At 40.4% G+C, this 15,327-nt stretch overlaps 1 protein-coding gene, 1 non-coding gene and 1 pseudogene across 4 annotated transcripts in view, besides 1 other annotated feature; 2 read left to right on the forward strand and 1 right to left on the reverse strand.

Annotated features, from left to right (window-relative positions):
• GNPTAB (N-acetylglucosamine-1-phosphate transferase subunits alpha and beta) overlaps window positions 1-15,327 on the reverse strand; it is an 85,461-nt gene that overhangs the window by 29,274 nt on the left and 40,860 nt on the right. For all 3 annotated transcript variants that reach the window (NM_024312.5, XM_011538731.3, XM_006719593.4), the window contains exons 3-7: window positions 15,166-15,285; window positions 13,776-13,817; window positions 11,240-11,445; window positions 5,785-5,849; window positions 5,380-5,514 (exon numbers count right to left, since the gene is read on the reverse strand). In NM_024312.5, the coding sequence (NP_077288.2) occupies window positions 5,380-5,514; window positions 5,785-5,849; window positions 11,240-11,445; window positions 13,776-13,817; window positions 15,166-15,285 (568 nt within the window). The remainder of the gene's footprint in view (window positions 1-5,379; window positions 5,515-5,784; window positions 5,850-11,239; window positions 11,446-13,775; window positions 13,818-15,165; window positions 15,286-15,327) is intronic.
• On the forward strand, window positions 5,042-5,157 carry RNA5SP368 (RNA, 5S ribosomal pseudogene 368; annotated as a pseudogene).
• Window positions 13,058-13,254: a silencer, noted in NCBI's record as "fragment chr12:102181608-102181804 (GRCh37/hg19 assembly coordinates)". NCBI's record gives its function as "represses an EF-1alpha promoter that drives an FKBP-Casp9 reporter gene in an ReSE screen in K562 erythroleukemia cells {active_cell/tissue: K562}" and the evidence as "EXISTENCE:reporter gene assay evidence [ECO:0000049][PMID:32094911]".
• Window positions 15,043-15,143, forward strand: LOC124903105 (small nucleolar RNA U13). The gene has a single exon (XR_007063642.1). It is a non-coding gene; the product is annotated as a small nucleolar RNA U13 (small nucleolar RNA).

The raw sequence follows: 15,327 nt of genomic DNA on the forward strand, positions 1-15,327 counted from the left end.
ATATTTAAAAATTGGCTTTAAAAACAATAGTAGCCAACAAATACAGGTAAGTTTGAATGCATGTTTTTAAGTCAAGCAAAAATAATGAGTGCAAAAGAGAAGGTATCCTTTTGAGGCAGACAAAATAGTATTTTAAGATAAGCCTTAGTTAAAAATCATGATATCAAACTGGTCATTTTTCAATGCCAAAAAGAAAGGCTGCGTCAAGTTGTCTAAACAATCACATATCTGCAAATACTCCCGAAGGACAGAGACCTGGGATGCTGCTAAACATCCTACAATACATAGGACAGTCCCCCAAGGATAGCGGCAACAGGTCTAAACTGTGAATGGTGCAAAGGTGGAGAAAATTTGGTCTAGAAGAACATGCAAATCCAAAATAACAAGGCTTTCCTATTAGAAGTTATTTTCCCAACAACTTTAAAGTGCTTACAAATTCAGAAGGTGTAATCTACTTTCATTTTGGATTCATTTGATTTAAAATCATTAAAAATCTGTTAGGAAAAAAACCCCACGTCTGCTAAGACCAACTGAAAACCAAATTAGTGCCTTTAAGTGATTCAACAATTCAAAGCTATTAGATCTTTTTTTTCTTTTTTTTTTTTTGAGACGGAGTCTCACTCTGTCGCCAGGCTGGAGTGCAGTAGCACCATCTCGGCTTGCTGCAACCTCTGCCTGCTGGGTTCAAGTGATTCTCGTGCCTTAGCCTCCCGAGTAGCTGGGATTACAGGCACACGCCACCACATCCAGCTAATTTTTGTATTTTTAGTAGAGATGGAGTTTCATTTCACCATGTTGGCCAGGATGGTCTCAATCTCCTGACCTCATGATCTGCCCGCCTCGGCCTCTCAAAGTGCTGGGATTACAGGCGTGAGCCACTATGCCCGGCCGCTACTAGATCTTAATACGTCCTGGTGGTTTTCTAAAACTTAATCAGTTTCAGAGTTGGTTGTTTCATCTTTATTTTAGAAATAAAACAAAAAAAGAAAAAGGTACCGTGCTTTAAAAGAACAAGTGCACATAGTGGTTTCAGAGAATTATCTAAAAGAAAGGGCATTAGTAGAAAATTATGACAATTTACTGTGACCTTAGGCCCTGACCAGAGCTTTGAGGGGGGCAGAGTCCATGCAGGACAATATGCTGTTCCCATCCTGCCTGCACAAACCACCTGTTCAGTCTTCAAGAACCCAGTGCAGCCTCTTTCTCTTTGAAAACTTCCCCCATGTCTCTGACCCACACAGACTTTTCCTGTTTCCAACTGCCAACTCTATACACACACGCTGCTTCCAAAATGTGACTATAAATGCTTGAGGGCAGGGTCTACATCTCCTCCACGTTTTGCACACTCACTCAACAACTACTATAATTGAAGGAAACTTAGCATGAGAATTCACTTGACAGCTTTGGGAAGATTTCCCACTTGCTCTAAAATATGTTTAAAAAAGAAGTGAACAAAAGCAAAAATCAAAAAATAAATGCAAAAACCCACCATGAATGAAAATGTTCTATGGATACAAAATGATTTAGAGGGATCTGAAAATAAGGACTGATGATCTGATTTATCAAAAGCTGAATTCTGTGTCCGTCATACACAAAAATTATACAGATAAATTAGAGAGTAATTAATCAGATTATTAAAGGACCCACCTCAAGGTATTTCAAATTAGAAAGTCTCTTACAGAAAAGACTGATTTATAAGACTACAGTCAAAAGATTTTATGAATTCAAATCCATTATCTTACAAATGAAACTATTTTCAAGTCCTACACTCCTGCCTCAGTTAATAAAACAAAAACAAAAAACTTCAGGTTTTGTTCTAAACAGGATGACAAAGGCCTAGTTGTGTATATACAACAATGTGCAAAGACACATTTCTGTGCCTAGAGTGACTCCTGTGAATAATCATACTGCTGAAAATGTTTCCCTATATATCCCAAGATATTGCCTCATATGGCTCATTCCTTAAGCAGCCCCCTAAGTGCCAAGTAATCACTAAGGGTAAAAAGGTGAATAGGGCAGTACCTGTCCTGAGATACCCGTGGCCTAGTGAGAATCTGTAGGGCAGAGCTGAGCTGAGCCCTAGGTGGCTCCAGGGCCACAGGCCATGGCAAAGGCCTCCTGGGGGAACCTGCGAGGGCAAAGTGGTTCAACAGTTCAAGTCTTGAAGTCCAATGTCTAACAGCCCTCTCCTCTGACATGCGACGTACACCCCTAATGCAACACATCCGAAACTGAGCTCTGGGTCTCCTTCCAAAAGACACTTGCTTCTGCCACTGAAGCTCTGAGTGTGGTTAATTCCATCACTTCTATCTTCACCAGAAAGGTCCACCTCCCCTTTCATTCTCCTCTTCCTCCTCCTGAATAGCTTGTAAGTCACCAAGTGATGTTGAGTGTTTCTCTCAGATGCTTCTGGAACCATTTCCATCGTTGGCATCCCACTGCCAAGCAACTTTTGCATGGGAACGTCTTACTGGGCTATGGCAGCAGCAGCTGAACTGGTTTTCCTACCACACCTTTCCCTAGTATGTTCCTTAGAAGCAGATCAGACTGTGTCCTTCCACGGCCTACAGGAAAAAATCTAGTATTCTTAACAGAGACGTTTCTCAACCTGGCCTCAACCTGTCTTTACAATCTCATCCTCACCAAAATCCCTGCCTGTGCTAGAAACCATTGCCTTGGTTCCCTGAAAACACCATTTATGTTCAGGCCTCCAGCCCTCTTGCTCAGGCTGTTCCCTCTACATAGAATGGTCTCTTCTGCTCCCTTCTCTGCTGGGAGAATGGCTGCTCTGTTTAGGGCCCAGCTAAAATGCTTCTATTATGCAAAGCCTGCCTTGACCCCAAGTACACCTAAAGCCCAGATGTTCTCATGGCACTCTGTATAAACTCTTATTTGGAGCTCATCATACACACAAAAGGTGTTTTGTTTGGTTGGGAACGCAGTGATAGGAAACTTCATTCTCAGAGTACTCATAATGTAATCAGGAAGCAAAGCCTAAGGAAAGCAAGTCACTCGAGGCCTGGACTCAAATGCTGACACTGCGTCTGTTCTTCCTCTTTCTCATTTTCTCTCTAGTCTCTAAAAATCTTAAGTCCTAGTCCCTGAAGTTGATCACAGGTGTTGGAATTATGAAAACAACCTTCAAAGAACATTATGTGTGATTAGCTTGATGCTCTGAGAGGTGTTGGCCTCCACAAAGACAACTCTGAAAATCCAAATAAATCTCTGACTGGGAGACTGAACTGTGGAAAGGAGTCTCACCACACCTGGAGCCTGCTGGTTTTCCTTGTTCAATTCAAATTGCTACCCCACTCCACCTCGACCTGCTTATACCACACATGCCACCCAAAAATAGTTTGCTGAATTGTCAACCATGACTCGGGACTGGCATTCTCTGGCAGCACACACCCATCCACCAGTAGACGCATGAGAGCAGTCCGCACTGGTGGGCAGCTGCAGCAGGCCAAGTGATGTGGGATATTCAAACAGAGTGGAGTATGGAGAAGTGGAATGAACCTTCTTTCTTTTCAGCATTTATTTTATTGAAATTATATAAATAGAATCAAGAATGCCATTCTGTCTACATAAGCAAGTTGAACTGGTGGTCAAAAGTACAGATATACATGTGTCTATAATTCTAGAACTAATAACCAGGAAGCCAAGAAGTCAAATAAACATTGGCTGAAATGAAAGTTAATCTATGGTTTTATCTGTCCAAATCAGTACTAAAAATAACTCAGAGGAAGGAGAGATGTATTATCTATTCTAAAATAACTGCATTTAAGAACAAATTCAACTCTAATATAGCCAGGCATTACAGTATTTCAAAGTACAATAAAGAAAGTCATGAAGGGCAAGGAGCAGTGGCTCACGCCTGTAATCCCAGCACTTTGGGAGGCCAAGGTGAGGGGATCACCTGAGGTCAGGAGTTGGAGACCAGCCTGGTCAACACGGCGAAACCCCCTCTCTACTTAAAATACAAAAATTAGCCAGGCATGGTGGCGCATGCCTGTAATCCCAGCTATTTGGAGGCTGAGGCAGGAGAATCATTTGAACCCGGGAGGCAGAGGTTGCAGTGTGCCCAGATCGCACCACTGCACTCCAGCCTGGGTGACAGAGCAAGACTCTCTCCAAAAAAAAAAAGCTATGAAGAAAAATATGAAAAAAGTAAAAAATTCATAAGTGGTTATTCACATTACCATTGTATTACAAGGATAATACAATGTATCATAAAACAGTAAAACACTTGGTCTGGGGTAGGGAGAAACAAGTTAAAAGGAATTTGGTTGGGGGGTGCATATAAAAACATGGTTAAGACAGGAACTAAGTAAAAACTGCTCTCTAGTCACCTCTAATCACAGCTCCCCCACCACTACTCCATCTTCATCCTTTCACCCTCAAAATTGTTAAATGACATACAACAGGAGGAAGTAAGAATCAGGTAAGCTAAACCCAGTGGCAGAACTCAAAGAACATTTCTTTATAAAATCAGGAAAACTAGAGCCTCACAAATTCTGAGACAAGGACTTTATGCTCTCTACTCTAAGAGATGGGACATTCACGATTTACAACCTGAAACACCTCTGACAGAATAGCAGGCATCTTGACGTAAGGTCAAATAGAGAGAACACCCACATGGACTATGTCCTAAGTCAATCAGATAAAGGATCTGAAAACAATACATGTTAAGGAAAAGGCACGTCCCAGGCCAGCCTCCAGAGTCCACCTTAACAAGTGGCATCAATGGTCAAGCCTGAAGAGCTAATAAGTATAAATTTTAAATACATTTGTCCCTCAATTAGTTACTAATGAATGGTTCTCATTAGCAGATGTTCCATGTATCTGAAGCACACTACCTTTATGAGTGAAAGCTTTGGGTAAACAACAGGCTGTGTGCATTGATGACATTTATGACTTCCCCTCATCTCCTCCTCCCATGCTTCCATTGTTCACACCCTAAGTTCCATCCGGGCCTTTGTCTGTTTTGTCCACTGCTGCATCCCCAGCAGCTGTAATGTCACCTAAGACATTGTAGGAGCTCGTCTACGGCCATACCACCCTGAACGCACCCGATCTTGTCTGATCTCGGAAGCTAAGCAGGGTTGGGCCTGGTTACTACTTGGATGGGAGACATTGTAGGAGCTCATCTGTTAAACAAATGAGTCCTTCTCTATCCAGGAAACAAGCAAACCAAATAAGACTCTTAGATTTTTGCCCAAATTAAAAGTAAGGAGTGAGGCTCTTCTGGCAGAACAGAATCCCTCTTTGCTTCTTATGTTTATCAGCTAAACTTTGGGGGAAAAAAATGGACCACAAGAAAAGAATCACACATTAAATGAGAATGTGCCAGGCTAATTGCTCTATTTTCTATGTTCTTACCAGTTTGACTTTAGAGGAAAGATTTTCTGGCAATTTTGTTTTTAGTTGATTTGTTTCCTTGAATGTTGGTGGAAATCCACTCAGGAAAGCCAAATCTTGCATTAGCACTAATCCAGGGACTTCTTTATCTGTTGTCTAAAATAAGGGGAAAAACATAACTCATTTTCCACATCATGAGGCTGGTGAAAACCTACAGCTGAGAAAACTGGTAAAGATCTATTGCATCACAACACAAGCTTCAAAATATGATTTTTAGGATTACTTGAATCAACAGTCATTAATATTAGTAAGCTACCCTTAGATAAAAAATAAACATTAAAAAGATTCTCAAAGAAAAACAGCTTTATTATTCATATTTTTATTCTAGTCTATTGTAAAAATGCAATTAAATTTAAAATAACATACCAAGTAGCCCCTCCATACTGTCTGTCTGCTATTTCCTTTAAGCAGTCCAGAGTGGGCATCTTCAACTACAACCAAGAATACAATAAACAAGCACATTTTTAATGAATACTCAACTATGGTGTCTGGCAGAACACTGTGAAAACATTCTGAGAGCTATTAAAGCAGCATAATATATGGTCCAAAAAAAGGAAGCTGAAGGAGACAAAATTAGCCCATTCAACAAAAGGGGAACAATGTAAATCAGTGTACGTTGAAATGTTAAATTTCACAATACCAAAGGTGATTGACATAAAGGGAATTCTTCATGGGAGCAGTCAAATTTAAGCTAGAATGCGAAGACAGAAATGATAGGATGATAGAAATCACAGATGTATATGCAAAGACAGGGGGAAAAAGAAAGAATTGTTTGACTAGAGTAAAATATTTGGGAGTGGTGAGTACTAGGAAACAAGGGTAACCAAAGGGGCCCTTGAACACCAGGCAGTGGCATGTATGTTAACAGCAGGGGGCTACTATGGATCTTGTGGTTCCTTAAGAGGCACAGTTTTCTCATAATGAATCCCCAGTTCATTGGGTGCTGCTGAATGGAGCATCATAAGTCACAGTAGGGATTGGGGGTGACACAGCCCAACTGGGAGAGAGTTAGTGATGGGGACAAGTGAGATCAACAAACTCACTGCTGACATTCAGGGATTGTGGAAAACAAAAGAGAGGTCAGAAAGCTCCAATTCTGATCTTCAAGATAAACAAAGAAGGCAGGTTCTCCAAATTATAGCCTGATGAGATGAGATGTCAATCCTGGGCATGAGTCTCAAGTGTACTATAGTTACAGGGCACAGTAGCTCATGCCTGTAATCCCAGCACTTTGGGAGGCTGAGGCAGGAGTATCACTTGAGCCCAGAAGTTCTATATCAGCCTGGGCAACATGGCAAAACCCTGTCTCTACAAAAAACAAACAAACAAACAAAAAACACAAAAACTAGCCGAGTGTGGTGGTGTGCACCTATAGTCCCAGCTACTCAGGAGGCTGAGATGGGAGGATCATCTGAGCCCCGGAGTTGGGGCTGTGGTGAGCCATGATCATGCCACTGCACTCTAGCCTGGGTGACAGAGTGAGGCCTGGTCTCAAAAACTGAAAAAAAACAATATAGTTGGTGAGCACTGAGAAAAGAAAGCCTTCATAATACACTGTTTATCTTTAAAGGAAGCACTGGCTGTTAAGAGTATGAATTCATTACAACTTTATCAGATAAACTTTTCTCTCTCTCTTTCCATTGATATGATGAATTCTACCTAACAGACCTGGTATATGTATTTGTAATCTCAGCAAAGTAGCTAAGGGCATCTCATGTCATCTTCATGGATATAACAAAGACATACAGGCTCGATGCTCAGGTGGGCTAGAACTTAACCAATTCTACCAAAGAGGTGTAGGTAACAAAGCCGCAATCAACCTAGAGGGAGGTTTAGGAGATTAGTCATAGGTCCGGTCTTGCTGAACCCTCTATCAATGTTTTGGAAGTTACAGAAGGCATGCTTGTGAAATGTGTAGATTCATAGGAAGATGGCAGAGAAGCTATTGTCCTGGATAAGAGACTATGGATTTCCCAAATTTGTGACTATTTGGAGCAATGAGTCAAATCTGGCAAAATAAAATCTCCTATGAAGTAAAACCTTTATATATGGTACCAAAACCAACTACACAAGCATACACTAAAATAGGTATTTGAGCATTAGAATATATAAGTTTTTTTTTTAAAAAGATAAGTTTTACTCAACAGTGAGTTCAGTATGAGTCAACAATGTGCTGTGGCCACACTGAATTTCCATCACATTTTTGTGCTTTTAAACAGAAGTAAAGTACGTCGAATAAAAAAGGTGATGATGTTCTCTAACACCGAGTCATTAGGAAACCCTGTTGGGTTGACCTTCAAAATGTCCAGAATCCAACCACTTCTTATCTTCACTGCACCTCCCTGGTCTAAGCAACCTTCCCTCTTGTCTGAATTATCACAACTTTTGCCCCTCCTCAGTCTATTTCCACCAAAGAAGCCAGATTGACTGCCTGGAATGTAAGTCAGATCACATTACATTTCTACTCAAAACCCTCTGGTGATTCCTCATCCTACTCCAAGTTAAAGCCAGGTCCTTGTTATGGTTACTAGGGCCTACACTATTTGGTCCCCTGCTTACTTCTTCAGGTTCATCTACTGCCTGCCTCTGTCTTGTTCACTCCATTCCAGCCACACTAGCCTCCTGGCTTTTCTTCAAACATGCCAGATACACTCCTGCCTCAGGGCCTTTGCAATGGCTATTCTACTTACCCAGATCAGTCTTTCCCCAGATATTCGCATTGCTGGCTACCTCACCTTCTTCACATTTCCACTCAAAAGTCACCTTCTGAGTGAGCAATGTCCCTACCATCCAAATTAGAATTGCAACCCCCTGCCCTGGCCGACACTTCCTCTGCTGCTGCCCCTGCTTGGTTTTTTTCTAAAGCATTATCTTCTATAAACTATGTAATCTACTTATTTATCGTGTTTACCGTCTGACTCTCTGACTCCCTCCACCAAGATGTAAACACAAGGTAAGGGTAGAGATTTTTGCCCATCTGTTCCCTGCTGTATCTTCAGTACAGGGAACAGTACCTGGCACACAGCAGGCACTTAATAAGCACTCATTAAACAGACAGTCCTGCTCTCCCTGCCAAGACAGAACCACACTAAAATAGAATGTTCACTTCCCATTGACACATTTTAAAAGTAATCTGAGAAGAGCAAACTGGGACACTGACAAGTCCCTGAGAGACAGCCAAAGAAAGGAAAATAAAATGTCCCAAGGGAGAGGGATTACGTGAGTTCTGTGTGACCATAGGAGGCACAGCTTTAACCTACGTGAGAAAGTTATAAGGAAGCAGTTTGTGGTTCCTTTTAAAAGTCAGTTTAGTCTAGAGGTAAAATGAATTGCCACTGGAGGAAATTTGTTTGCTATAAATCAAAAAGTATAAGCTTGACTGGAAAAACTACTTTGCTGAGTAGACCCAGCTCCAGGCTGCAGTTCGAATATGTGAGTGCTGAGGTACAAATCAGTTCAGGATCTATAGAGTGAAGGGGCAGACATTTATACTTGGAAAGGTTAACATTTCCTTTCATACTAAAAATAACTTTTTTTTTTTTTTCAGACAGGGTCTCACTCTTGCCCAGGCTGGAGATCAGTGGTGCAATCTCAGCTCACTGCAGCCTCAACCTCCCAGGCTCAAGCGATCCTACCATCTCAGCCTCCCAAGTAGCTGGGATTACAGGTGCATGCCATCATGCCAGACTAATTTTTGTTTTTTTTTTTGTAGAGACAGGGTTTTGCCATGTTACCAAGTCTGGTTTTGAACTCCTGAGCTCAAGCAATCTGCCCACCTTGGCCTCCCAAAGTGCTGGGATTATAGGCGTGAGCCACCACACCCAACCTCAAACTAAAAATAACTTGTTAAGTATCAGGGAGCGAGCACTGTTAGACACTGATCAGGATATAAACTGGTGAGTGGTAAGTTTTCTGTTCAATAAAAAAATTCCATGAGAAAAACCATAAACTCCTGTGCAATCAAAACCTAAAGTCATGAGTTAGATTATAAGTATTACAGAAATACAGAAAAGTAAAAATAAAATCATTGTGAATATATTAGTCCAGGAGCTTCATGAAGGAGAGAGGACTTGAAGTGGGGCTGGACGAAGCAGGGGATGTACTGAGAGGGAAGGGGAAGGGGACAGGCAGTGGGACACAAGGCCTAGCACCACATGTGTGAAGACACTGACAGCTGCAATGTGATGCAGGGAGGGCAGGGATGTGGGGATCAACTGACAAAATCAAGGCAATTAGAGCTGAATCCCAAACACCAGGAAGAGAAGTTTGTATCCATGTGAAAAGCAAACATGAACTGCTATATTATTCTTTTCATAAAGGCAGTGAACCCATAAAATCAGGGTTTTCAGATTTATGTGAGACCTGTGTGCCAGACAGACTGAGATGGACTTTACATAGACAGAGCAGGAGTCCGATTATTGGAGTCTGTGTGAGGGAATTCAGTCTGGTGTGGAGGAAATAAGTAAGGTAAGAACCTAAGAATCATGTGGAAAAAAAAAAAAAGCAAGTCATAGGATGAAGTTAATTATTAGTTATAGATGTAAAAAGTAAGGAGTCAAAGATGGTTCCAAAGATTTAAGCTGGGAGGTATGACACTGATAGAATGGGAGCTAGAGAACTAGACTTGGTGTTGGAAAGGGAACACGGCAGCTTTCATTTTACACATAAAAACCACGGACCTTCCAAATAGAGACAATCCATGCAGAGGAGGAATGAGACAGACAAGAGGCTAGAGCAGAAGACGCAGGTTATGGGCTCAGCAGTACACTGGTCAAGTGGGAGAATGGGATCTCTAAGGATGTGGGTGCAGTTTTATGCCAGGAATTACCATTTTAATTCCATTATCTGCCCAAATCATCTGTTGTCTTATAAATAACAGAAATCTGTTTTTCACAGTTCTGGTGGCCAAAGTCTGAGATCAGAGTGCCAGCACGCTTGGGTTTTGGTGAGGGTACTCTTCTAGGTTGCAGATGGCATCTTCTCATAACGTCACATGGTGGAGAGCAGAGGGAGCTCTCTGGAGTCTCTTTTGCTATTATTTATTATTTTGAGGCAAGGCCTCGTTCTACTGTCCAGGCTGGAGTACTGCTCAGCCTTGAATTCCTGGGCTCAAGTGATCCTCCTGCCTTAGCCTCCCAAGTAGCTAGGACTACAGGCACATACCACCATGTCCAGCTGTGTGTTTTTTTGGTTGCTGTTGTTGTTTTTTGGTAGAGACAGGTTCCCACTATGTTGCCCAGGCTGGTCTTGAACTCCTTAGGCTCAAGCAATCCTTCTTAGTCTCCCAAAATTGCTAGGATTACAGGCATGAGCCACTATGCCCAGCCTGGGATCTCTTTTATAAGGGTACTAATCCCATCAAAGGCTCCACCTCCCAATACCATCATGCTGGGTGTTATGATTTCAACATACAAATTTTGGAGGAAACACATTCAGTTCATATATTTCAGAATGTAAAGAATCAATACTCCAGGTATGTTCTGCCCAAACTGCAGAACGCTACCTAGTAGAGGAGTTATATAGTAGAAAAATTGCCTCTAGAATAATTCAGAGCCAAGAGAACAAGGTAATTGTGATATCAGATTGAAAGTCCTCATCACAGCACAGAAAGGTATGTGTATTACACAGAGTAAAATATATGCAGCAATCCCTTTTTGAGGTTAAGGCCAAAATACAATAGCAGCTGTTTTGCTTCTCTTTGTGCATTTTTAGAAAAGTTTATCAGACATTTAAGAATGAATCATTTCTATTCCACTCAGAATTTTGTTATTCAAACATCCAATGATAACATGATTTTAAAATATCCATAAAAAGATCTTACCATCCTTAGTACTGTCAAAAACAACAACTGAGACATTGGTAGAAGGGTTTTTTGGTTTTGCAACATTGAAAATGTCACTGGCAGAATGAAAAGAAGGATAAAGAGATGGCAGGTCCTTCAGGGTGATGTTGGCTGGCAGGGCTGGGTCCAGGACAAGCATTGGCACCTTAATGCAGTGTGTTAGCAAACACTCTAACTGCTTCTCACTGGAAAGAAACACCAACATGCTTACAATTACATTCTTGAAATTTAATCAGCAATGAGAAGCTTGTCATACTACTAAATTTTTCAGATTTTTTTATAGCCCATAAAAAATGATAATATTTTAACAAATGAAGACTTTTATCTCATGGATACAAAAATTAAGTTAGCAAGTATGATATAAAATTGTTAAACCCAACTCCAAAGATAGAGCTTTCAAACTCCCATTAATAAGATCCCCACCAATATTTACTAATTCCAAAATGCACATGAAATTAAGCACTTCATTACTATCATTTTTTAAAGATTATTCATAATTCCAATAAAGCCCATTATTGGACAGATTAGGAAGGAGGCAGATTCTGGTTAATAGAGTGTCATGTTACCAGATACAAGTTACCAATTCCAGTTAGAAAACAACTAAATACATTGGATGTGACACTACACTGATGTAAACAAAAGCAACTGTGACATGGTTCTAAAATAAATTTATATGAGATATTTCTATCTGATTATAAGAAATATCTACAATAAACATATTACCTGAATAAACAAATGGATGGGCAAAGGACACGGCTAGAAAATTCACAAAGTAGGACCTATAACCAGTTAAACAGTATAAAAAATTGTTCAACTTCCTTAATAAAGACATGTAAAAGAAAACAATGAGCTATCACCTTTACTAAATTAGCACCCCTCAAAAAATGATGACTCAATATTAGCACAAGTGCAGTAAATCTCCTTCTCTTAAATACTGCTGGTGTCACTCCAAACGACACCAAATCTTTTGGGAAAGCAAGTTGGTAATATATACATGTATGCTTGTCTAATACACATATGTATACATATATACTTATTCAGAACCATAAAAACATACATAAGCTTCGTCCTCAGTAATCTTACTTTTAGGAATCTAGTCCAGTCCAAGTAGGGAAGAGAAACAAAACAGGAAAAACAAACCCACACACAGAAAATGCCACAGACCTAAATATAAGTATCATGAAATATTGACAATAGTGAAATACAGAAATGCCCAACATTTAGTAAATTACAGTAGTCACTTTATGGAATATTATACAACTATTAAAACTGAAAGATATGAAGCATGAAGATAATGCATCAACATGATACATACATATAATTACATAAAGTTTAAAAAGGATACAAAACTGCCCACAGATTATAAACTACAACTATTCAAATATGCATGAAAAGGGAATAAAAATAACAGTTGTTAAATAAGATTTATAAAATTTTGTGAGTTTTTGCTTTTCACTTTCCTCTCAATCTTTCTTCATGTTGCACCATTGCTTTTATTTAAATAATTTAAAAACCATTTAAAAAACAGTATTAATGTTAATATAATTTATAAATAAAGCTATATAATTAACATAAAAGATAGCTTAGAAGGCACTTCTGAGGCCGGATGCGGTGACTCACGCCTGTAATCCAGTACTTTGGGAGGCCGAGGCGGGCGGATCACCTGAGGTCGGGAGTTTGAGACCAGCCTGATCAACATGGAGAAACCCCGTCTCTACTAAAAATACAAAATTAGTCAGGCGTGGTGGTGCATGCCTATAATCCTAGCTACTCGGGAGGCTGAGGCAGGAGAATTGCTTGAACCTGGGAGGCGGAGGTTGCGGTGAGCCGAGATCGCGCCACTGCACTCCAGCCTGGACAACAAGAGCAAAACTCCGTCTCAAAAAAAAAAAAAAAAAGGCACTTCTGGATCTTGAAATTCTCAGGATCTTCTCTATCAATAAGTGTTTTTAAAAGTCTGATGGTTAAGTGGGGAGGTGACAATTAACAGAGATTGCTTGTCAGTGAGACAGTCTTGTTTTAAGGACCTATCAGAGTCAGGAATGACTCAAGTCGAGATAGGTGTATTTGGTTCTTGTTGTTGGGCTAAATCTCCTTCCCAGGTTCTTAAACATAAAATATACAGCTTCACAGCTTTTAAAGATAAGGATGTATATATTGAACCTATAAGTAAATGATGGACATAAATTTTATAAATGAAAATACTGGGTAGAAGATACAGTGTAAGTGGACCAAGATAACAATGCACCAAGAGGGAACTAAAGAGAAGGAAATCTTGGGACTCTAACCCTCCCCAGTGCAGTGAAGCTTTGGTTAGCAAAATAACCAGAATTCTCAGTCAACTATGCACTCAGCACTGCAAAATTTCCTGTCTAATAGATGTACCTAATTTGGGGTCAAAAACTATATGGATAATAAACACAAAATCCTGTGTACCCAATAAAAACAAATGATAATCTGAAATTTCACTTCAATCCTTCACTTTTTACTCTTGAGAGGAAATCAAAATGCTTACCTCTTCTTAGTAGGTTCCGTTGTGTTTTTCCCAAGGATTTCTCTAATAAAAAGCAAATACAGTTTATTACATACATATGGGCTACTATACCTCCCACTGTAACCAAGACGGTTTGCTTAGAGCATAAACTTTCATATTTTATTAGTAAAACATGGTACCAGGCTGTCAGCCATTTTCATGCACTGGGAAAGTCATATAACCTCTAACAAAGAGAAAATGAATTTGCTCCAATATAAGGTGGCCAAAGACCTGCACTGGGGTGCACTCTTGACATTCACAAAGAAGTCAACAAGTAGGTACTAAGAAATACTCCTAACGAATCAAAGGGGAATTACATCAGCCAGGTTCCTACCTCTTATGGCTATCCAGAAGTCCGCTGTAACTTTCCCAGATAAAGTAAATAAAATGACCAATCTCATATATTAAATAAAAAGTACCAAAGTTTCTAATTCCATAGTCTGTAATTTATTCCTAAAAGGCATAAAGGGAGTATACTTTTTACTGCCGTTTTCAAATGGAAACAAGTCTGTGGGCCTATTATATTTTTCAAGGGAAGAATCTGTCTTACTGTGGAGATATTTTTCATAATAAACACTTATTTCAAGAAGATACCACACCTGGGGCTCAAAATGAGTGAGTAGGCAGCCAGCGGGTTGGGGGAGGGGGTCCTCTGTCTTTAGGTCCCTTGAAGAGCAAGCCGTTACTAGAGCACCATATTCATAAAATCATCATCTAACAAAGTGAGGCCAGTATCTGGCAAAAGTGGCTGAGTTCTCCTTGGGCACCAAGAAACACAGGCCAGATGGATGACTGCCAAGATCTCGTAATGGCATGAACTGAGGGGCAAGTTTGTTTGGATGGCACTGTGAAAATCAACTTACCCTTCTCTAATGCATGCTTACTTGTACCCACAGGACTATGTGTTTTGTTTTGTTCTCTTTTCTTTTTCTTTTTTGAGACAGGGTCTCACTCTGTCACCCAAGTTGGAGGGCAGTGATACAATCACGGCTCACTGCAGCCTCAACCTCCTGAGCTCAAATGATTCTCCCGCCTTAGCCTCCCAATTAGCTGGGATTGCAGGCGTGCACCATCACGCCCAACAAACTTTTTATTTTTTGTAGAGATGAAGTCTCACTATGTTGCCCAGGCTGGTCTTGAACTCCTGGCCTCAAGTGATCCTCCCACCTCCACCTCCCAAAGTTCTGGGATTACAGGTGTGAGCCACCATGCCTGGCCTGTTTTGTTTTTTAAAAATCAGTTTTACCAGATCCTTTTGTAGTTCATTAGCATGATGACTGGGTTTTCATGCTCATATGTGAGATGTGCCACCCTCAGACCTTATTACATCGCCACATTACCCATCTGATGTGAAAAAAAAAATCAGTTTTACCTCATTGCTTTCTGCTCCTCCTCCATCTGTTCTCTGACCTGCTGTAGTTCCTTCAGTAGTTCAAGATCTGTGCCATTCACCCAGGTGTAAACAACGTCAATCGGCATGGGCAGACAAAGCCTAGGGCAAACCAACAAATCCTCCAGCTTAAATGCATTTTTC

This window comes from Homo sapiens, chromosome 12 (genome assembly GCF_000001405.40).
Source record: "Homo sapiens chromosome 12, GRCh38.p14 Primary Assembly".
Lineage (NCBI taxonomy): Eukaryota > Metazoa > Chordata > Mammalia > Primates > Hominidae > Homo > Homo sapiens.